At 41.1% G+C, this 24,228-nt stretch overlaps 1 pseudogene, besides 4 other annotated features; it reads left to right on the forward strand.

Moving 5' to 3' along the window:
• Nucleotides 1,944-2,226: a silencer, noted in NCBI's record as "fragment chr21:11164508-11164790 (GRCh37/hg19 assembly coordinates)". NCBI's record gives its function as "represses an EF-1alpha promoter that drives an FKBP-Casp9 reporter gene in an ReSE screen in K562 erythroleukemia cells {active_cell/tissue: K562}" and the evidence as "EXISTENCE:reporter gene assay evidence [ECO:0000049][PMID:32094911]".
• Nucleotides 11,930-13,657, forward strand: VN1R7P (vomeronasal 1 receptor 7 pseudogene; annotated as a pseudogene).
• Nucleotides 17,189-17,383: a silencer, noted in NCBI's record as "fragment chr21:11149351-11149545 (GRCh37/hg19 assembly coordinates)". NCBI's record gives its function as "represses an EF-1alpha promoter that drives an FKBP-Casp9 reporter gene in an ReSE screen in K562 erythroleukemia cells {active_cell/tissue: K562}" and the evidence as "EXISTENCE:reporter gene assay evidence [ECO:0000049][PMID:32094911]".
• Nucleotides 21,251-21,545: a silencer, noted in NCBI's record as "tiled region #1951; K562 Repressive non-DNase unmatched - State 25:Art". NCBI's record gives its function as "represses a minimal TATA promoter and a strong SV40 promoter by Sharpr-MPRA in K562 cells {active_cell/tissue: K562}" and the evidence as "EXISTENCE:reporter gene assay evidence [ECO:0000049][PMID:27701403]".
• Nucleotides 22,355-22,855: an enhancer, noted in NCBI's record as "H3K4me1 hESC enhancer chr21:11143879-11144379 (GRCh37/hg19 assembly coordinates)". NCBI's record gives its function as "activates a minimal SCP1, AML or CMV promoter by ChIP-STARR-seq in naive H9 embryonic stem cells {active_cell/tissue: H9 hESC(naive)}" and the evidence as "EXISTENCE:reporter gene assay evidence [ECO:0000049][PMID:30033119]".

The following is a 24,228-nucleotide window of genomic DNA, read 5'->3' on the forward strand; positions in this document are numbered from 1 at the left end:
TCACCTGTTGCACTCTCTAAATTTTACTGTCCACTCCTAGGCCTGATCTAGAGGGCTGTCTAGTCTAGGGGAGACAAAGTTGGATGTATCTACTGCCAGCCCCATGGGGTCAGAACTACAGGGGAAGGATGGGGACTGTGGGATTCCAGAGGAACAACAGGGAGGGCTTCTTGGAGGAATGCTTTTTCTTGAGCTGAGTTTTTTTTTCTCTGTAGCTCAGTCTGAAATGCAGTGGCACAATCACTGCTCACTGCAGCCTTGACCTTCCATGCTCAATTGATCCTCCTACTTCAGGGTGGGACTACAGGCACATGCCACCACACACAGCTAATTTTTGTATTTTTTGTAGAGATGGGGTTACATCAGGTTGTTCAGGCTGGTCTCAAACTCCTGGGTTCAAGCAATCCTCCTGTCTTGGCCTCTCAGAGTGCTGGAATTGCAGGCATGAACCACCTCATCTGACCTGAGCTGAGTTCTGAAGTGTGAATAGGAGTTGGCTAGGTGAAGAAGGGAAAAAAGGACCTTCTAGACAGAAATATTTGTCAAAGATAGAGAGAAGTAGGCAGGAGCTGATTAGGGCAAGGTGTTTGAATGTCAGGCTGGATGCAGAAATTTTCTCACAAGGCCAATGTGGAACCATGGAGAATGTGTGAGCAAGGGAGGCCATGATTAGAGCTTGATCTCTCAGGGGCAGAGTGGGGGACAGCTTGGTTCTTCGGTGATGGGATCAGGAGAGTTCCGGTGTCATGGGGGGTCAGGAGAGTTAAGCCCTGCATCAACTCATCTGCACCTGTCACCTCGCACCAGAGTTGGTGGGGGACCTCCTGATGTTCTGGAGGGCCAAATAAGCCGTGGGATCCAGTGACTTACAGTGTGAGGTACAGACCAGCACAGAGAGGGTACCGCCCCAGGCTCTGCTCAGATGGACACAGCCCTGACCTCATCTCCAGCCTCCTGCCATCTCCACCCCAGCCCTGATAGTCCTGCTTTCCATGGTAGCCATGAGCTGCATGTTAAAATGATAAATCAGCCCCATCCCTTCTCTCCTCAAAACCCTCTCATAGCTCGTCTTTGCTCTTAGACTAAAACCCAGAGCCTCCTGCAGCTCAGAAGGCCCAGTGTGGCCCAGCCTCTGTGGCCTCTTGCCCTCCCCACCCACTCCAACCTCACTGCTGTTTCTCTCCCCCTTGGGATCCTTGTACCTGCTGTTTCTTCTGCATGGAATTCACTTCCTGTCTCAGCTCTAGGACATCAGTCCAGAAAGGCCCCCAACTTCCTGTCTCTCGGGGTTTCCCTGTCACGTGACCTCTGCACTAGCCATAGTGTCCCTATAACTAAAATTGAGACAGATTGAGAAAGGGCTTAGTTGAGCCTTCTATGCTCAAGAGACTCAGGCCCAAGATCAGCCCCAGTCCCTGCTCTCATGAGACCACATGCATAGGGGTCATTTGGGGGATTATCTTGGCACTGGGTCCTGTGGGTTGGTGTCACCTCCAGCCTCCAGGGACTCATCCTAGCCATGGGAATGTGTCCAATTCCTGCCCAGGATTAAAATTAGCCCTGGAGATTACATTTAGTAAGTCAAGCTGGAGGTCAGGGGCTGGAGCCCACAGCCTGGGCTCTGCAGAGCTGTGGCGGCTCAGAAACTCAGCCCAGAGAACATGGAGGTATGCTTAGGGTCACACAGTGGGCCACAAGTGCCACCTGAGATGTCAGATACTTGTGGGCCTGGGACACCTGGATGATGAAGGGTCCAGCATGGGCTGGAGCAGTGCCAGGGATTGGGGTTCTGAGAAGCATCTGTGGCCACTCCCAGAGAATGACCTGAATTTCCTGAGAGTTTGTTGCCAGGCCTTGTGGTGGGAGCTTGGCATTTCATGCCTGCCATAGAGGTCTGTTACCTGTCCCATTCACAGAACAGCACATAGAGGCCTAGAAATCAGCCTCCTATGCTGAGAACCACCTCAAGGGTCATAGAAGAGGCTGGGACCCAAGCATAGGCCCATGTGACTCTGGGGAGTCACTCATCTGAAGCCTCAAGTCATCTGTGACATGGCAGAGGCCGGGAGGTGGAGTGTATTCACACGGTTGGCAGAGCGGGGATGTCCCCTGGGGGTCTCAGGGGCCTGGGATGGCATGCCTGCTGCGGAACGGGCAACATGATTTCTTTCTATGGAGGAACCTTGCATGGGGGTGCCAGAGAAAGCCTTGTCCCTGCCGTGGCCCAGCAGCCTCCTGCTTCTGAGACCCCCACCGGGGGATCCAAGATTCCTTGAGGTGGGGTCCAGGGTTTCTCCTGAGTCACCAAGTGGACCCCTGGACCTAAACTCTGGTCTGAGGGCTCCAAGCCAGAGTCTTTCCAGGGAATCCCTGTACTCTCCCACTGGAACAGGGTGGGTTTCCATCATTCTCTTTTCAAAAACAAAAAAAAAAAATTAGCAGAAATAATTCACTGGTGGTTGGGGGGAATTGGAAGATTGAGATAATCAAAGAGTTAAAACAGGCTGGGCGTGGTGGCTCATGCCTCTAACCCCAGCACTTTGGGAGGCTGAGGCAGGCTGATCACCTGAGGTTGGGAGTTCGAGACCAGCCTGACCAACATGTAGAAACCCAGTCTCTACTAAAAATACGTAATTAGCCAGGTGTGGTGGTGCATGCCTGTAGTCCCAACTACTTGGGAGGCTGAGGCAGCATAATTGCTTGAACCTGGGAGGTGCAGGTTGCAGTGAGCCAAGATTGTGCCTTTGAACTCCACCCTGTGGGACAGAGAGAGACTCCATCTAAAAAAAAAAATTGGAAAAGTTGTTGGGAATATAATCCACACAAAAATATCCTCAATCACATTAGAGTGGCCAACATGCCAATTCAAGAAATTTAGAGTACCTTTGTGAAGTACTATACAGGACAACAATCACCAAGACACAGTTATCAGATTCTCCAAGGTCAACATGAAAATAAAAGCCTTAACGGAGTTAGAGGAAAGGGTCAGGTCACTTTCGAAGGGAACTCTATTAGGCTAACAGTAGACCTATCAGCAGAAACCTTACAATCCTTAAAATCTTAGGAGCCTATTTTCAGCATCCTTAAAGAAAATAAATTCCAACCAATAATTTCATATCCTGCCAAACTAAGCTTCATAAACAAAGAAGAAATAAAATCCTTTCCCGGCAAGCAAATGCTAAGAGAATTTGTTACCATTACACTAGCCTTACAAGAGGTTCTTTAGGAAAATGAAAAATAAAACCTGCTAACATAAAACACACTTAAATACATAGCCCAAAGACCATGTAAAGCAACTACACAGTTGAATCTACAAAACAACCAGCTAACAAAACAATGACAAGATACAAATCTCACATATCGATATTAACCTTGAATGTAAATGGTCCAAACACCCCACTTAAGAGGGACAGGTGGTAAGTTGGAAGACTCAACCATATACTGTCTTCAAGAGACCTATCTAATATGTAATGCCATCCATGGGATGAAAGGAAAAGGTTGGAGAAAGATCTCTCATACAAATGAAAAACAAAAAGACCAGAGGTTGCTATTGCTATGTCATATAAAACAGACTTTAAACCAAGAACAGTAAAAAAAAAATAAAGGGCATTACATAATGATGAAGCATTTAGTTCAACAAGAAGACATAAAAATCCTGAAAATATAGGCATCCAACATTAGGGCACTCTGATTCATAAAACAAATACTTCTAAACCTGCAAAAAGACTTAGACAGCCACACAATAATAGTGGGGGCGAGTTACTGGGTGCAGCACACAAACATGGCACGTGTATACATATGTAACTAACCTGCACGTTGTGCATATGTACCCTAAAATTTAAAGTATAATTTAAAAAAAATAGTGCTGGATTTGAACATCCCACTGACAGCTTTAGACAGATCAATCATTGTGATGAAAACTAACAAAGAAATTCTCTTTTTTAAAATGTATTATTATTATACTTTAAGTTTTAGGGTACATGTGCACAACGTGCAGGTTTGTTACATATGTATACCTGTGGCATGTTGGTGTGTTGCACCCATTAACTTGTCATTTAGCATTAGGTATATCTCCTAATGCTATCCCTCCCCCCTCCCCCCACCCCACAACAGTCCCCGGTGTGTGATGTTCCCCTTCCTGTGTCCATGTGTTCTCATTGTTCAATTTCCACCTATGAGTGAGAACATGTGGTGTTTGGTTTTTTGTCCTTAACGATAGTTTGCTGAGAATGATGGTTTCCAGCTTCATCCATGTCCCTATAAAGGACATGAACTCATCATTTTTTATGGCTGCATAGTATTCCATGGTGTATATGTGCCACATTTCCTTCATCCAGTCTATCATTGTTGGACATTTGGGTTGGTTCCAAGTCTTTGCTATTGTGAATAGTGCCACAATTAACATACGTGTGCATGTGTCTTTATAGCAGCATGATTTATAATCCTTTGGGTATATATCCAGTAATGGGATGGCTGGGTCAAATGGTATTTCTAGTTCTAGATCCCTGAGGAATGGCCATACTGACTTCCACAGTGGTTGAACTAGTTTACAGTCCCACCAACAGTGTAAAAGTGTTCCCATTTCTCCACATCCTCTCCAGCACCTGTTGTTTCCTGACTTTTTAATGATCACCATTCTAACTGGTGTGAGATGGTGTCTCATTGTGGTTTTGATTTGCATTTCTCTGATGGCCAGTGATGATGAGCATTTTTTCATGTGTTTTTTGGCTGCATAAATGTCTTCTTTTGAGAAGTGTCTGTTCATGTCCTTCGCCCACTTGTTGATGGGGTTGTTTGTTTTTTCTTGTAAATTTGTTTGAGTTCATTGTAGATTCTGGATATTAGCCTTTTGTCAGATGAGTAGGTTGCAAAAATTTTCTCCCATTCTGTAGGTTGCTTGTTCACTCTGATGGTGGTTTCTTTTGCTGTGCAGAAGTTCTTTAGTTTAATTAGATCCCATTTGTCAATTTTGGCTTTTGTTGCCATTCCTTTTGGTGTTTTAGACATGAAGTCCTTGCCCACGCCTAGGTCCTGAATGGTATTGCCTAGGTTTTCTTCTAGGGTTTTTATGGTTTTAGGTCTAACATGTAAGTCTTTAATCCATCTTGAATTAATTTTTGTATAAGGTGTAAGGAAGGGATCCAGTTTCAGCTTTCTACATATGGCTAGCCAGTTTTCCCAGCACCATTTATTAAATAGGGAATCCTTTCTCCATTGCTTGTTTTTGTCAGGTTTGTCAAAGATCAGATGGTTGTAGATATGCGGCATTAATTCTGAGGGCTCTGTTCTGTTCCATTGGATTATATCTCTGTTTTGGTACCAGTATCATGCTGTTTTGGTTACTGTAGCCTTGTAATATAGTTTGAAGTCAGGTAGCGTAATGCTTCCATCTTTGTTCTTTTGGCTTAAGATTGACTTGGCAACGCAGGCTTTTCTTTGGTTCCATTTGAACTTTAAAGTAGTTTTTTCCAATTCTGTGAAGAAAGTCATTGGTAGCTTGATGGGGATGGCATTGAATCTATAAATTACCTTGGGCAGTATGGCCATTTTCACGATATTGATTCTTCCTACCCATGAGCATGGAATGTTCTTCCATTTGTTTGTATCCTCTTTTATTTCATTGAGCAGTAGTTCATAGTTCTCCTTGAAGAGGTCCTTCACGTCCCTTGTAAGTTGGATTCCTAGGTATTTTATTTTCTTTGAAGCAATTGTGAATGGGAGTTCACTCATGATTTGGCTCGCTGTTTGTCTGTTATTGGTGTATAAGAATGCTTGTGATTTTTGCACATTGATTTTGTATCCTGAGACGTTGCTGAAGTTGCTTATCAGTTTAAGGAGATTTTGGGCTGAGACGATGGGGTTTTCTAGATATACAGTCATGTCATCTACAAACAGGGACAATTTGACTTCCTCTTTTCCTAATTGAATGCCCTTTATTTCTTTCTCCTGCCTGATTGCCCTGGCCAGAACTTGCAACACTATGTTGAATAAGAGTGGTGAGAGAGGGCATCCCTGTCTTGTGCCAGTTTTCAAAGGGAATGCTTCCAGTTTTTGTCCATTCAGTATGATATTGGCTGTGGGTTTGTCATAGATAGCTCTTATTATTTTGAGATACGTCCCATCAATAACTAATTTATTGAGAGTTTTTAGCATGAAACGTTGTTGAATTTTGTCAAAAGCCTTTCCTGCATCTATTGAGATAATCACGTGGTTTTTTTCATTGGTTCTGTATATATATTGGATTATGTGTGTTGATTTGCATACGCTGAACCAGCCTTGCATCCCAGGGATGAAGCCAACTTGATCTTGGTGGATAAGCTTTTTGATGTGATGCTGGATTTGGTTTGCCAGTATTTTATTGAGGATTTTTGCATCGATGTTCATCGGGGATATTGGTCTAAATTTCTCTTTTTTTGTTGTGTCTCTGTCAGGCTTTGGTATCAGGATGATGCTGGCCTCATAAAATGAGTTAGGGAGGATTCCCTCTTTTTCTATTGATTGGAATAGTTTCAGAAGGAATGGTACCAGCTCCTCTTTGTACCTCTGGTAAAATTCGGCTGTGAATCCATCTGGTCCTGGACATTTTTTGGTTGGTAGGCTATTAATTATTGCCTCAATTTCAGAGCCTGTTATTGGTCTATTCAAGGATTCAAGTTCTTCCTTGTTTAGTCTTGTGAGGGTGTATGTGTCGAGGAATTATCCGTTTCTTCTAGATTTTCTAGTTTATTGCATAGAGGTGTTTATAGTATTCTCTGATGGTAGTTTGTATTTCTGTGGGATCGGTGGTGATATCCCCTTTATCATTTTTTATTGTGTTTATTTGATTCTTCTCTCTTTCCTTCTTTATTAGTGTTGCTAGTGGTCTCTCTATTTTGTTGATCTTTGCAAGAAACCAGCTCCTGGATTCATTGATTTTTTGAAGGCTTTTTGTGTCTCTATTTCCTTCAGTTCTGCTCTGATTTTAGTTATTTCTTGCCTTCTGCTAGCTTTTGAATGTGTTTGCTCTTCTTTCTCTAGTTCTTTTAATTTTGATGTTAGGGTATCCATTTTAGATCTTTCCTGATCTCTCTTGTGGGCATTTAGTGCTATAAATTTCCCTCTACACACTGCTCTATATGTGTCCCAGAGATTCTGGTATGTTGTGTCTTTGTTCTCTTTGGTTTCAAAGAACATCTTTATTTCTGCCTTCATTTCATTATGTACCCAGTAGTCATTCAGGAGCAGGTTGTTCAGTTTCCATGTAGTTGGGCAGTTTTGAGTGAGTTTCTGAATCCTGAGTTCTAATTTGATTGCACTGTTGTCTGAGAGACAGTTTGTTGTGATTTCTGTTCTTTTACATTTGGTGAGTAGTGCTTTACTTCCAACTATGTGGTTAATTTAAGTATAAGTGAGATGGGTTGCTGAGAAGAATGTATATTCTGTTGATTTGGGGTACAGAGTTCTATAGATGTCTGTTAGGTCCCCTTGGTGCAGAGCTGAGTTCAAATCGTGGATATCCTTGTTAACTTTCTGTCTCGTTGATCTGTCTAATGTTGACAATGGGGTGTTAAAGTCACCCATTATTATTGTGTGGGAGTCTAAGTCTCTTTGTACATCTCTAAGGATTGGCTTTGTGAATCTGTGTGCTCCTGTATTGGGTGCATATATATTTAGGATAGTTAGCTCTTCTTGTTGAATTGATCCGTTTACCATTATGTAATGGCCTTCTATGTCTCTTTTGATCTTTGTTGGCTTAAAGTCTGTTTTTCCTGAGACTAGGATTGCAACCCCTGTTTTTTTTGTTTTTTTTTTGTTTTCCATTTGCTTGGTAGATCTTCCTCCATTCCTTTATTTTGAACCTATATGTGTCTCTGCATGTCAGATGGGTCTCCTGAATACAGCACACTGATGGGTCTTGACTCTTTATCCAATTTGCCAGTCTGTGTCTTTTAATTGGAACATTTAGCCCATTTACATTTAAGGTTAATATTGTTACGTGTGAATTTGATCCTGTCATTGTGATGTTAGCTGGTTATTTTGCCCACTAGTTGATGCAGTTTCTTCCTAGCATCGATGGTCTTTTCAATTTGGCATGTTTTTGTAGTGGCTGGTACTGGTTGTTCTTTCTGTGTTTACTGCTTCCTTCAGGAGCTCTTGTAGGGCAGGCCTGGTGGTGACAAAATCTCTCAGCATTTGCTTGTCTATAAAGGATTTTCTTTCTCCTTTACTTATGAAGCTTAGTTTGACTGGATATGAAGTTCTGTATTGAAAATTCTTTTCATTAAGAATGTTGAATATTGGCCCCCACTCTCTTCTGGCTTGTAGAGTTTCTGCTGAGAGATCCGCTGTTAGTCTGATGGGCTTCCCTTTGTGGGTAACCCGACCTTTCCCTCTGGCTGTCCTTAACCTTTTTTCCTTCATTTCAACCTTGGTGAATCTGATAATTCTGTGTCTCAGGGTTGCTCGTCTCATAGAGTATCTTTGTGGTGTTCTCTGTATTTCCCGAATTTGAATGTTGGCCTGCCTTGCTAAGTTGTGGAAGTTTTCCTGGATAATATTCTGAAGAGTGTTTTCCAACTTAGTTCCATTCTCCCCATCAATTTCAGGTACAGCAATCACAAGTAGATTTGGTCTTTTCACATAGCCCCATATTTCTTGGAGGCTTTGTCCATTTCTTTTTACTCTTTTTTCTCTAAACATCTCTTCTCACTTCATTTCATTCATTTGACCTTCAATCACTGATCCCCTTTCTTCCACTTGATCAAATCGGCTTGTGCATGCGTCACGTAGTTCTTGTGCCATTGTTTTCACCTCCATTTGGTCATTTAAGGTCTTCTCTACGCCGTTTATTCCAGTTAGCCATTCATCTAATCTTTTTTCAAGGTTTTTAGCTTCCTTGCAATGGGGTCGAACATCCTCCTTTAGCTTGGAGAAGTTTGTTATTACCAACCTTCTGAAGCCTACTTCTGTCAACTCATCAAAGTCATTCTCCATCCAGCTTTGTTCCATTGCTGTGGAGGAGCTGTGACACTTTGGAGGAGAAGAGGTGCAGTGGTTTTTAGACTTTTCAGCTTCTCTGCTCTGGTTTCTCTCCATCTTTGTCATTTTATCTACCTTTGGTCTTTGATGATGGTGACCTACAGATGGGGTTTTGGTGTGGATGTCCTTTTTGTTGATGTTGATGCTATTGCTTTTGTTTGTTAGTTTTCCTTCTAACAGATTCCTCAGCTGCAAGTCTGTTGGAGTTTGCTGGAGGTCCACTCCAGACCCTGTTTGCCTGGGTATCACTGGCAGAGGCTTCAGAACAGCAAATATTGCAGAACAGCAAATGTTGCTGCCTGATCCTTCCTCTGGAAGCTCTGTCTCAGAGGGGCACCTGGCTGTATGAGGTGTCAGTTGACCCCTACTGGGAGATGTCTCTCAGTTAGGCTACTTGGGGGTCAGGGACACACTTGAGGAGGCAGTCTGTCCATTCTCAGAGCTTAAACTCCATTCTGTGGGAACCACTGTTCTCTTCAGGGCTGTCAGACAGGGAAGTTTAAGGCTGTAGAAACTTCTGCTGTAGAAAGTTTCTGCTGCCTTTTGTTCAGCTATGCCCTGCCCCTAGAGGTGGAGTCTACAGAGGCAGGCAGTCCTCGTTGAGTTGTGGTGGGCTCCACCCAGTTCAAGCTTCCCAGTGGCTTTGTTTACCTAGTCAAGCCTCAGCAATGGTGGATGCCCCTCCCCCAGCCTGTCTGCTGCCTCCCAGTTCGATCTCAGACCGCTGCACTAGCAGTGAGCAAGGCTCCATGGGTGTGTGATCCTCCGAGCCAGGTGTGGGATATAATCTCGTGGTGTGCCATTTGCTAAGACTGTTGGAAAAGTGCAGTATTAGTGTGGAAGTGTCCCAATTTTCCAGGTACCATCTGTCATGGCTTCCCTTGGCTAGGAAAGGGAAATCCCCCAACCCCTTGTACTTCCTGGATGAGGTGATGCCCCACCCTGCTTCAGCTCACCCTCTCCGTGGGCTACACCCACTGTCCAACCAGTTCCAGGTACTTCAGTTGGAAATGCAGAAATCATCTGTCTTCTGTGTTGATAGTGCTGGAAGCTGTAGACCAGAGCTGTTCCTATTTGGCCATCTTGGTGCCTCCCCTTGTTTTTTTTTTTTTTTTTTTTTTTTTCTGATTTCAACTTGACAGCAGAACTCAACCATGCTGATGGTGCAGATGCATGTTGGTGGGAACTTTTCATTGTTTGATTCTGACATTTATGATAAATGGATTCACTTACTAAAGTTTTGTAGAGAGAGTAATAACCATTTAATCACCTAGATGATATTTCCTTTATAAAATCAAACATATCTGGTGGTTTTAGAGCAATATTTTTTACCTCAGTCACTTGTGTTTATTAGACAAGAATACTAAGTGTCAAGATGTTTGCATTGCCTTTCATATTTTTATTTAGGGGACAGTGTAATGATAAATGACTTTGAATATATAACCAGACACACCTTCATCCCCCCACCAAATCTGTGCTAATTTACTGTTTTTTATATTTCATGCATGAAGCTAAATTTTTTTTACCCATGGATTACAGCAAAATGATGCAATGATACCTGAATCCTGGCCAAATAACATGAAATGGCAACTGCAAAATTGTTCTGCAAAATTTTACAAGGTATTATGGTATTGAGGATATCCCAAGAAAACTTGAGAGGCATTATCTTTCTCATTGGAGACTGACATTCCTGTATCAAGTAAAGTCTCAGGAAAAAGAACCACATGTGACTATTTTAATGCAACCTCTTGGTTGAAATAAAATGACTAAAAGCAGTGTTTATCTTGTTGATAACTGAGAGGCAAATGTTAAAAATTTTGTTCTGAGATGAAGAGAGTTCACATGATAAGTCTCTGGGATGTGAACTAAACTGGGAAAGCACCAGGACCATTTCTGAGACATACAGTTAATTAGGGTTTGGATAAACAGAATAATGTTCCCCACTCCCTAAAAAAGATATTTACATCCAAGTTCTTAGATACTGGAAATAATATATTACAATTCATGGCAAAGAGAATATAAGGTTGCAAATGGGATCAAAATTGCTGATATGCTGATGAAAAATAGGAAGACTATTATGAATTATCATGGTGGGCCCAGTAGAATCATAAGCATCAAAAACCATGGAAGAGTGAAGAATAAACCGTATCAAAGTGATAGATCATGAGAAAGACTCAATTGGATATATTTTTAATTGTTTGCTTTAGTGAGTCTTTCCACTTTAGCATACATTTTATTCAATTCAACTCTGCAAATGTGATTCATTTTATATGCCTGTCACTGAATTGGGTGTTAAAAATAAAATGAGAGAACACAAAATAACAAAAATTGATTTCTAAAGATGGAGGGCAAAGGGCATTAAGAATATAGATAGTGTGCACCCTATACAGGCATGATTGTAAATGTATTCATTATATATAGAGAGTAATAATTATATATATATGTATATAATTATTTGGCTTAGAAAAGAGTGCAGGAGGTACATTATCAAGAATTTAGCATCAAGGTTAATCAAGAATAAGTGAGTAAAATAAAAATAATAATGATGGTAATAATTTCAAACACTGAAGAAAGAACATTGATGATATGAAGTCATTTTTTTTCAGATCTACAAAATAGGTTTCTTCTATGCCATTAGGATGAACACAGTTTTCACTTATGTTATCTTTTAAAAATACCTTTAATTGTCAAGCTAGCATTAGAATCTCAGCCAACATCTTCCATCTTCTCTTCCACATTTTTACATTCTTTCAGGATCACAGGCCTAAGACCCATGACCTGGTCACCTGTCATTTGGCCTTTGTCCACCTAGTAATGCTCTTCACTGCAATGGAGTTTTTGTCTCCAGACATGTTTGAGTCACTGAATTTTCAGAATAACTTTAGATGTAAAGCTTTCTTTCTTTTTTTTTTTTTTTTTGGAGACAGAGTCTCTCTCTGTTGCCCAGGCTGGAGTGCAGTGGCGCGATCTCAGCTCACTGCAAGCTCCACCTCCCGGGTTCACGCCCCACGCCATTCTCCTGCCTCAGCCTCCCAAGTGGCTGGGACTACAGGCGCCTGCCACCACGCCCGGCTAATTTTTTTTGTATTTTTTAGTAGAGACGGGGTTTCACCGTGTTAGCCAGGATGGTCTCGATCTCCTGACCTCGTGATCCACCCACCTCGGCCTCCCAAAGTGCTGGGATTACAGGCGTGAGCCACCGCGCCCGGCCTAAAGCTTTCTTCTATTTGCACAAGGTGATGAGGGGCCTCTCCATCTGCACCACCTGCCTCCTGAGCATGCTCCAGGCCATTACCATCAGCCTCAGCACCTCCTGGTTGGTTAGATTTAAACATAAATTTACAAAATACGATATCCTGGGCTTATTCGTTTTTTGGTTTAGCAATTTGTCTTTCAGTAGTGACATGATAATCTACACTGTAGGTTATTCCAATGACCCAGATAATTTTGAATATCAGCAAATATTGCACATTTTTCCCAATGAATGTCCTCATCAGGACGCTATTTCTTATGCTGTCATTATCCAGAGATGCCTTCTTCATAGGAATCACGCTGCTCTCAAGTGTATACATGGTCATTCTTTTGTCCAGGCATCAGAGGCACTCCCAGCACTTTCACAGCAGCAGCCTTATATTAAGGACTTCTCTAGTGAAAATGGCCACCAAGACCATCCTGATGCTGGTGAATTCCTTTGTGCTGATGTACTCAGTGGACTTCATCCTCTCATCATCCACAATGCTGTTATGGGTAATTGGCCCTGTCACCTATGGTGTCCACAAGTTTGTGGTCAATGCCTATGCCACTGTCAGTCCTCTGGTGCTAATCAGATCTGATAAAAGAATCATCAATATTCTGCAAAAGTTTCAATGGAAGTGCCATCTATTTTTAACAAGTTGGTGATAAAATTTTCTAAAAATTATTTCTTTGTAATCAATTAAATTATACAAAAAGCACATAATTTTCTTTCTGATTTAAATAAAACATGTGAATTGTACTTTTATAATATCTCAATATCTTTTAATTTTTTGGTGCCAAGAACTGTGTGCTTTCCTCAGTTCAATGTCCACTATGATTTTGTATTCTCAAGGTCTGTCTCTCACCCCTTCATTTTAATTTTACCTTTATACAGGAAAATGTTATTTTCTTCTTGAGTACACTCTTATGCGGCTCCTATTGGCAAGCAAATCTCTTAGTTTTAATTTTTGAAATTATTTTAATTTTTCTTATTTATTGAAGATATTTAGCTATATTCAAATTCTAGCTTGAATAAAAAAATTTTTAAGCATAATTTTAAAATTTGTTTTTAATTGAAAATAACATTGTGTAAGTTTATTATGTATGTTTTGAATTACATATAGATTATAAAATGATTAAATCTAGCTAATTAACAAATGCATGATCTAAAAGTTATTGTTTTTTGTGGTGAAAACAGTTAACATCAACTACCTTTTCATTTTTCAGGACTGCAATATATCATAATTAAGTATGGCTGCCGTGCTGCATAGCAGATCTTGTAAAATATATTTCTTCTATCTAATAATAATTATGTTTCCTTTGACCAACATCTTTCCATCCTGTCCTCCACCACCGCAGGCTCTGGTAACCACCATTCTCCTCTCTACTTCTAAGAGATAAGCTTGTTTAGATTCCACATTTAATAAATTCCTGTCTTATTTGTCTCTCTATGTCTGGCTTATTTCACTTAACATAATGTCCTTCAGGTTCATCTATGTTGTCTTAAATGGCAGAATTTTATTCTGCCATTTATTTTATTATGCCATATATTTGTGGCCAAATAGCATTTCATTATGTTTACATACCATGTTGTCTTATCCATTTATTCTTCGATGGGCACTGTGATTGATTCCATATCTTGGCCATTGTCAATAGTGCTGTAATAAACATGGGAGTGTAGCTATCTCTTTAACATACTGATTTTATTTCTTTTGGCTATATGCCCAGTGGTGGAATTGCTGGAACATACAGTAGTTCCATTTTAGGTTGAGAAACTTCCATACTTGTTTTTCATAGTGGCTGTATTAATTTGTATTCAAACCAACAGTTTATAAGAGTTCCCTTTATTCCACATCCTTGCTAACACTTGTTCTCTTTTGTCATTTCGATTATGGCCATTCTACTTAAGATAAGGTAATGTCTGGTATTGTTTTGATTTGCATCTCCCTGGAGGTGATAAACACCAAGACAAAGAAACTGGGAGATACAAGAGGACAGAAATGACTCAGTGATAGACACCATGGAGTCTCATCCACAATCGGCACACTCTGATCCTCTAACCAAATGACAAGCCACAGTTCAACTACTCCTTTTAAAGAAAAATGAGAAAACATATCTCTAAAATCGAGGACAGGCAAGGAGAGTGTCCCCCTTTGGGCACCCCAGCTGGTTTTATGTGTGATAATTATAGCACCTCTTCTTACAAACATTTATGTAAAGGGAGGATTTTACTAAGGACGACCAACATCTAAGGTTCCCAAAGTGAAGAACTTTAAATATTCCCAAACTGGTCTTCTCGTATGCTAAATTAGAGAAGTTAGGTTTCTGCATCAAGGAAAATAAATGAGGGTTGTATTTTAGCTGGCACCTAAAAACATCCAAAAGTAGAAATGATAAACTTATTTCTTTCCAGAAAGGTAACAACAAAATATTTGAAACTACCTCAGAATTAAAGAAAAGTAGCAAAATCAGCTTCTAAAATCAGGAAGCTGCCAGAAACTGTCTCTTCTTTTTCTTCTCCTAAACCTCTGCTTTCTAAACTTCCTTGCCTGGATGATTTCATTTTTTTTCTCTTTCTCCTCCCTGTATTCCTTCTTAAACCACAAAGGGTCCAGAAATAGCTACAGGAGAAGATAAAATAGTAGTCATTTCTTTTAAAACAAAACCCACAGGAAGAGTGGGTTCAAACATAAGATATACACCTTACACCAAGTCAGAATTAAGTGCTCTGATGTTTGGATTTCCTGATCTGACTCAAGACACCTTAGGTTTGCCAAGGAATTCCAAATAATGCTTAAGACCTATGATTCAGGGTTTTCAAACCAATATCAGCTAACTGATTTACTAGTCCTCCAAAACAAAGCCAAAGAGTGCTACAAAGTAGTGAATTAGAAACAGCTTTAGCAGATTTTAACAAACTAAAGTGCAAATGGGAGAGAGAAGTGTAGGGAGTTTTGCAACTGCCTCTGTGGGAATTTACCACAGCTATTCCCCCTAATCCTACAGACTAGGCAAAATACAACAATGTAATATATACCCCAGCAAAACCATACCTGATTATTATATCACATTTATTTTTATTTTTTGTGGGTATACAGTAGTTGTGTGTATAAATGGGGTATATGAGATACTTTGATACAGGCATGCAACATGTAACAATCACAGCATGGTAAATGGGGTATCCATCTCCTCAAGCATTTACTCTGTATTACAAAAATTGAATTATATGATTTCAGTTATTTTAAAAGGTACAACTAAATTATTATTGATTATAATAATTGTCAATTATTGACAATTGCAGTGTTGTGGTATCAAGTACTACTGTTGTGCTACCAGTACAAACTGTGTTATCAGTACAAATACTACTGTTGTGCTATCAGCACAAATACCCTGTTGTGCAATCAAATAGTACCTCTACCTCTTATTCATTCTTTTTAACTATTTCTTGTACCCATTAGCCATCCTCACTTCCCTCCATGGCCCTACCAAACTGCCCCCCTACTATGCTTCTCAGCCTCTGGTAACCATCCTTCTACTCTCTATCTCCGTTGAATTCAACTCAATGGGATCCTTAGCGCCCATAAATAAATGAGAACATGCAAAGTTTGTCTTTCTGTGCCTGGCTTATTTCATTTAACATAATAACCCTCATCCATGTTGTTAAAAATGACAGAATCTCATTCTTTTTTTCTGGCTCCACTGTGTATACATACTACATTTTCTTTATCCATTCATCTGTTGATTGACACTTACGTTGCTTCCAAATCTTGGCTATTTTCAACAATGCTGCAACAAACATGGGAATGTAGACATCTCTTCAACATACTGAGTTCCTTTCTTGTGAGTATATACTTAGCAGTGAAATTGCTGGATTATATGGAAGCTCTAGTTTAGTTTTATGAGGAACCTCCAAGCTGTTTTCCATAGTGGTTGTACTAATTTACATTTCCACCAACAGTGTACCAGGCTTCCCATTTCTCCACATTCTCACTAGCATTTGCTGTTGCCTGACTTTTGGACAAAATTCATTTTAACTGGGATAAGATGATATCTCATTGTAGTTTTGATTTGCATGTTTCTGATAATATAACTGCTTGCAATTCATATGCCTTCTTTTAAGAAATGTTTATTGAAATATTTTGCCCATTTTAAAGATCAGATTACTAGATTTTTTTCCTATACAGTAGTTTGAGCTGCTTATCTGTTCTAGTTATTAATCTTTTGTCAGGTGAATAGTTTGCAAATATGTTCTCCTATTCTGTGGGTTGTCTCCTCACTTTATTGATCATTTCCTTTGACATGCAGAAGATTTTTAACTTGATGTAACTTCATTTGTCCATATTTGCTTTGGTTGCCTGTGCTTGTGGGGTATTACTCAAGACATTTTTGCCAAGACCTGGAGAGACTTTCCCCAATGTTTTCTTGCAGTAGTTTTTTAATTCGAGGTCTTAGATTTAAGTATTTAATCCGTTTTGATTCGACTTTTGTATATGGCAAGAGTTGGGGTTATAATTTCATTCTTTTGCATGTAGATATCCAGTTTCCAAGCATGATTTATTGAAGAGATTGTCTTTTCCCTAATTTAAGTTCTTGGCACCTTTGTTGAAAATGAGTTCAGTGAAAATGTGTAAAATTTTTTTCTGGGTTATCTGTTCAATTCCATTGGTTTATGTGTCTATTTTTATGCCAGTACCAGGCTGCTACAGTTACTATAGCTTTGTAATATAATTTGAAGTCAGTTAATGTGATTCCTGCATTTAATCTGTGAATTGCTTTGGGTAATATAGACATTTTAATATACTAACACTATCAATCCATGAACATGGAATATCTTTCAATTTTTGTGTCTTCAATTTATCTTATGATTGTGTTATAGTTTTTGTTGTAGAAATCCTTTACTTCTTTGGTTGATTTCTATGTATTTAGTTCTATTTGTGGCTATGATAAATGGTATTTCTTTTTAAATTCTTTTTCAGATTGTTCACTCTTGGCATATAGAAATGTTACTGATTCCTGCCGGGCGCGGTGGCTCACGCCTGTAATCCCAGGACTTTGGGAAGGTGAGGTGGGCAGATCACGAGGTCAGGAGATCAAGACCATACTGGCTAACACGATGAAACCCCGTCTCTACTAAAAATACAAAAAAAGTTAGCCAGGCGTGATGGTGGGTGCCTGTAGCCCCAGCTCCTCGGGAGGCTGAGGCAGGAGAATGGTGTGAACCCAGGAGGCAGAGCTTGCAGTGAGCCAAGATTGCACCACTGCACTCCAGCCTGGGAGACAAAGTGAGACTCTGTCTCAAAAAAAAAAAAAAAAAGATACTGATTTTTATATATTGATTTGTATCCTGAAACTCTACTGAATTTATCAGTTCTAGTAGTTTTTGTGGAGTCTTCAGGTTTTTTACAAATATAAGATTATATCATCTGCAAAACAAAGATAATTTGTCTTCTTCCCTTTAGATGCCCTTTATTTCTCTCTCTTGTCTGATTGCTTTTGCTAGGACTTCCAGTACTATGGAGAATAACAGTGGTGAAAGTGGGCATCCTGGTCATGTTCCAGATCTTAGAGAAGGGGATTTCAGTGTTTCCCTTGTCAGTATGATACTAGCTGTGGGTATGTCATATATGGCTTTCATTATGTTAATAATGTTCTTTCTCTACCCAGGTTTCTGAGGGTTTTTAATCATGATGGGATGTTGAATTTTATCAAATGCTTTTTTAAAATGTCTTAATTTAAATGATTATATAATCTTTTCCTTCATTTTGGTGATGTGATGTATCATTTGGATTGATTTGCAACCATTCTTGCATCCTTGTGATAAATCACACATGATCATGAAGAATGATATTTTTAATATATTGCTTAAAGGTTTGCTAGCATTTTGTTGAGGATTTTTGCATCAATATTAATTGGAGATATTGTAGTTTTCTTTTTTTAAAGTGTCTTTGATTTTGGTATAAAGGTAATTCTGGTGTTATAGAATGAGTTTGGAAGTATTCCCCATCTGTATTTTGTGGAATAGTTTCAGTAGGATTGGTGTTAGTTCTTTAAATATTTGTTAGAATTCAGTAGTGAAGCCATAGAATATTGGGGCTTTTCTTTTCTGGGAGACTTTTTATTACAGCTTTGTTCTCATTATTTGTTATTGGTCTGTTCATGTTTTGTATTTCTTTGTGTTTCAATTTTGGTGTGTTTCTTGGCCCTAGTCTGGTCCACTCAGACCTGCTCCATGCTCACCATCAGGCAGCTGGTGGTCCTTTTTGAGGAGTGAGTGCAGCAGGGACCAGTGGTTGGGCTGAAGCCCCTTCACCTCATGCGGACTCTCCAATACTCATTGAACTTCATGGTGAGGGACAGAGGACCCACCCTGGCTCTCAGCGGGAGAGCAGGGAATTCTTGTTCAAGGAAGCCCCTGGGGCAGCCGCAGAGGCAGCCCTTGGGAAAAAGCGCCCAAGGCCCCCCTCAACCGGCCATCCTGCCTCCTCTGCAGGACCTTCTCTTCCCCTCTTTCCCTCCCTCCTGAGGTGAAAAGGAGGGGAGGAGACCACGGAGCCCTCTGTGTCAGGGAAACCTGGCCCTTCCTTTTGAGCGTTCAGGGGACTCGCATGGGCCTTGCCCCTTCTCCAGGACCTGGAAGCTTCTCTCTCTGAAGAGCCCTGAGTTCCAGTCTCAAGTGTCTCATTCCCCATTGCCTCCTGCTTCTCCTTTCATCCCCCCCACCACCACCTGGGGCTCACACTCCCTGCCTTTGGGCTTCAAATGTTGTACTACGTGCTTGACCCACTAGCCTGCTTAATCTTCAAAATCACTCTATCAAAAAGACATTTTAGGCTGGGCATTGTGGCTGAAGCCTGTAATCCCAGCACTTTGGGAGACCCAGATGGGCTGATTACTTGAGTGTATGAGTTACAGACCAGCCTGGGAAACATAACAAGATCCTGTCTCTACAAAAATAGAAAAAAATTAGTGGAGTGCTGTGGCACATGTCTGTAATCCCAACTACTTGGGAGGCTGAGGTGGGAAGATTGCTTGAGTCTGGGATGTCGAGGCTGCAGTGAGCTGAGATCACGTCACTGCACTCCAGCCTGGGTAACAGACTGAGACCCTGTCTCAAAATAAAAATAAAAATAATTTAAAAAGCGAAATTGCCAAAATCATTCATTTAACCAATAAGATGAGCACCTACCTATCAGGGACAATAAAAGTTTAAAGGTGCCAACAATTATGAAGGCAGTATTGAATTTACTTGAAATATGAAGAACACCACATTGGGTGAACTTAGATAGGAAGGCCAAGGAGATATTCCTAGGAATATCATTATATATGGAAAACACTGAAAAAAGACACTGCAGTGTTTGAGAAAATAATGGCCATAGAAAGAGATTTCATGGACCTTCCAGCTTATGAAAAAATCAACTGAAATTGCTCGACATTAGGTTAGAACATTAAAAAGGAAAATAAGCCATTATAGAAGGAGAGAATTGGAATAGGGGACAGGAATGACCCATTTCCCAGTCTCTGCCTAGAACAGGGCTGGGGAAAAATCTGTGGTCATCACATTCACCATTGCATAAACACATATTCTTTCTATATGTCAGCAAGGAGCAAGTGCTACCAAGACAAGGCAAGGAAAAGGAATAGAGAATATTGCTGGGTGCTTTTCTGTAGGGTGATCAGGAAAGGCCTCACTGAAAAAGAGACATTAGAGCAGAGCAAGTGACAGAGAGAGAGTCATAGAGAGATCTGTGGGAAGAGCATTCCACGTGAGGGCAACAGACACTGCAAAGGCCCTGAGGCAGGGAGTGCTTGGCATGTCTGAGGAGCCAGAAAAAGGCCAGTGGGGCTGGAATGGAGTGAGTGAGAAGTAATAGGTGCAGAACACACATGGCCTTAGAGATCATGGCTCTAGGTGTTTTGTTTTATTTTCCAATTTTTAAAATTGTGTTAAAATACACATAACATAAGCGTCTGGGATCCCGCAGGATGCTGGCCCCAAACAGGCCAATTTGTCCTGTCTCTGTGGGATTTGTTGGTTCTAGAAGATCAGATTTGGTCTGGGTCACCCAAATCTGTCTGTACCCCAACCTCCACTGTCTGCTCTTACCTCCCTAGGTGTTGGCTCAGGTACTGGGCAAACTTTACCAGGAATATATACATTGTGTGGAATTTCTTAGCTTCCATTTCAACAAAGTTGAAACTTCGGGGAAATGATTTGCCAAGGGTTACAACTTGGGGAAAATGATGATAGTTTGCTTTACAAATTGCTCTAGTTAACCAATAAAAGTATGGCATGCCTACCCAGGTACAGTGGAATTCGAGGTAAACAGCAGAACAGATGCATGCTCAGGTACATTTGAGTTGGAGATAAACAGCAAAACAGATGCGTGCTCAGGTACACTTGAATTCGAGGTGAACAGCAGTATGCATGCGTGCCCAGCTACACTTGAATTCGAGATAAACAGCAGAAAAGATGCGTGCCCATGTACACTTGAATTTGAGATAAACAGCAGTATGGATGCATGCTCAGGTACACTTGAATTCAAGGTGAACGGCAGCACGATGTGTGCCCAGCTACACTTGAGTTCGAGGTAAACATCAGCACGATGCATGCCCAGATACACTTGAATTCGAGATAAACAGCAGAACAGATGCGTGCTCAGGTACACTTGATTTCAAGGTGAACAGCAGCACGAGGCATGCCCAGATAACACTTGAATTCGAGATAAACAGGAGAACAGATGTGTGCTCAGCTACACTTGAATTCGAGGTGAACAGCAGTATGCATGCATGCCCAGATACACTTGAATTCAAAGTAAACAGCAGCCCAGGTACGCTTGAATTCAAGGTTAACAGCTGTATGCATGTGTGCCCAGCTACACTTGAATTTGAGATCAACAGCAATATTGAATTTTCTACCAAAAATGCATATGCTCTGTCTCTGAATAAATGTGCAAGAAATGAAAGTTCTACATGCCCAACAACTCTTTGCTTCCATTTCCTTACGGTCATGAAGCCACACCTGCCTGGAGCTACTAATCTATTTCCTGAGCATCAGAACCCTCTTGCTCATTTGGGGAATCCATCTCCCTGCAGTTGACCTGTGGACCTCCAGCATCCCTGGGCAGCCTGAGGACCCTAAACCCTGTAGTTCAGTTTATGACACGCAGGCTTGGAGGAATTTCCCTCCATAAGGCTGCTGTGAACTCCCACGCCAGGAGAAATTAAAATTTGTAATACAGCGGAGATCTCTGAATGAGCTTTTCTCCCTGATACATGTCAGCGAACTCAGTGTGTCTTTGGAAATCCGGAAACCTCCTTTTCTCAGTTCAGGCTGCCTGCATCATGCTGGTTTGCTTCCTGCAACAAAACAGATCATCCAGACACCTCTCTGTTTTCCTTCGGATATTCCCCACACTACCACGCCATTCGTGGGCAGGACCTCAGTGCCTGAGGTCAGAATAGAGACACCTCTGACATCCCATGGCTGTACCCACAAATAACCCTTCCTCGGCAGTCGCTGAAGCCACACCTCTACACAGCTGTCTGTTGTCTTACAGTGGCATAAGCATAAAACAGATTTTTTTTTGACATGTATTATAGCACCTGCTGGCTTTATTTCCCTCCCTTATACCATAATATTGCTTGTTGATTTGTATCAACGGATTTGCATCTTCTGCCCGCCACACACACACACACACACACACACACAGACACATCCACCCCACTCCCCCCACTAGTGACTAGGTACACTTGAATTCGAAGTAAATAGCACACACAAGAGATATGTCCAGCACGTGATTTTCACAGGCCTGATTTCACAGCGGTGCTGGAGGCAAACCTCGCAGCCTCTAGCCTGTGCAGACCGCATCATGACAAATTGTATAAATATGTGCAAATTGTCCAGATGATGTCATGTGTGCCCCAGCCTGCTCTCCAAGTGGGCAGAACGCTTCAGGGAAGGTCAGGGCAGGCCTTGCTCTGAATTCAATTGAGGTAATTGCATTCAATTTGCTTAAATGTATCACAGAGAAAAGCCCTGTCTGTTGATCTCAATCGTATTAAGAAGTTTATTTTCCGCCAGGGCCGGACTCCACGGCCTCACGGAGAGGAAGCCTTCTCTCGGTTATGTCCTTCTTTCTCCTGCTTGATTCCAGGTCCTGGGGGCAGCCCTGGGAATGCCAGAGAGGGCCCCCCGCCCCCGCCACAAGAAATACCTTATGGCTCTCTCCCTAGCCACCTGCAGGGCTCGGAATGGCCGCAAATAAGCATGAGGATTTCTGTGCTTAGGGAATAGTTTGTCAGCTCTTTGCAGGTGTGATTTGACGATGCCAGTGAGTGAACAGAGCCTGAGGTTTCACCCCAAAAGATCGTTCTGTGGTTTGCCTACCATGATTCAACAGCCCAGGATCTGCTCGGGCACAGACAACCTGAAGTGTAAAGAGGCTCCTGAGAGCCGGGTCCCAGCTCGGCCCCAGACACCCCCTCTGCACCGACCCCACGAGCCCCCAAAAGTCATCTCTACCAGAGGTTCTCCTCATTTCTGAGAAGAGGGAAGCAGGGCCCATGCGTTTTGAGGTTGCCTCTGGCTCCAACGCGGTGACACGCAATGCCAGCCTCATGAGGGTGAGAGTCCTCTGAATGGCCCACGCTCTCTTGTGACAATGACACTTGTCTGTGAAGGAGAAGGCCAAGCTGACTCACACGCTGAGTGCCCCAAGGATGAAGGGGGTCCCCGGAGTGGGTACCGCACCTCCCTCTTTGCAGACAAGGAGGGGGCGGCTCTGAGACCCACAGGGATGTACCAGAGAGTGCGTGTTAGGCAGAACCGAACATCCCCAGGAAGGGAGGGAAAAGCAGGTGGCTGATATCTGCAGGGTCCTCTTGTACCTGAAACTCCAAAACTTTACACTATTTTCAGAATAACAGCAGCAGCAGATACAAAAGAACTCATGAGGGTTATGTCTTATAAAATAACAGAAAATATCTTAGGCAGACTGGGGAGTTTCTGTCTATCTATTACCCATCTATCATCTATCGACCTATTGATCTATTTATATATAATCTATCTAACATCTATCATCTATCTATCAATCATCTATCATCTACTATATATCCATCATCTATCATCCATCCATCCATCTATCCATCTATATATGTATTTATCTATTGAATCTATAATCTATGTATCAATTGTATATCTACCTATCATCTATCCCTGTAGCTATCTATCGACTTACCTATCTACCTATCTATCCATCTAATGTATTATGTAATCTATGTATTTATCTATTGAATCTATAATCTATGTATCAATTATCTATCTACCTATCATCTATCCCTGTAGCTATCTCTCTATCCAGCTATCTATCTATACATCTATCTATCCATCCATCTAATGTATTATCTATCTATGTATTTATCTATTGAATCTATAACCTATGTATCAACTATCTACCTATCATCTATCTGTCTGGCTAGCTAGCTGTCTATCTACCTATCATCTCTCTACTATCTATCTATCATCTACTATATATCCATCATCTATCATCCATCCATCTATGCATCCATCCATCTATCCATCTATATATGTATTTATCTATTGAATCTATAACGTATGTATCAATTATCTACCTATCATCTATCCCTGTAGCTATCAACTTACCTATCTACCTATCTAATGTATTATCTAATCTATGTATTTCTCTATTGAATCTATAATCTATGTATCAATTATCTACTTATCATCTAACTGTTTGGCTAGCTAGCCGTCTATCTACCTATCATCTCTCTACTATCATCTACTATATATCCATCATGTATCTATCATCCATCCATCTATGCATCCATCCATCTATCCATGTATCTATATATGTATTTATCTATTGAATCTATAATCTGTGTATCAATTATCTATCTACCTATCTTCTATCCCAGTAGCTATCTATCAACTTACCTACCTATCTATCTAATGTATTA

This window comes from Homo sapiens, chromosome 21, assembly GCF_000001405.40.
Source record: "Homo sapiens chromosome 21, GRCh38.p14 Primary Assembly".
NCBI classification, from domain to species: domain Eukaryota; kingdom Metazoa; phylum Chordata; class Mammalia; order Primates; family Hominidae; genus Homo; species Homo sapiens.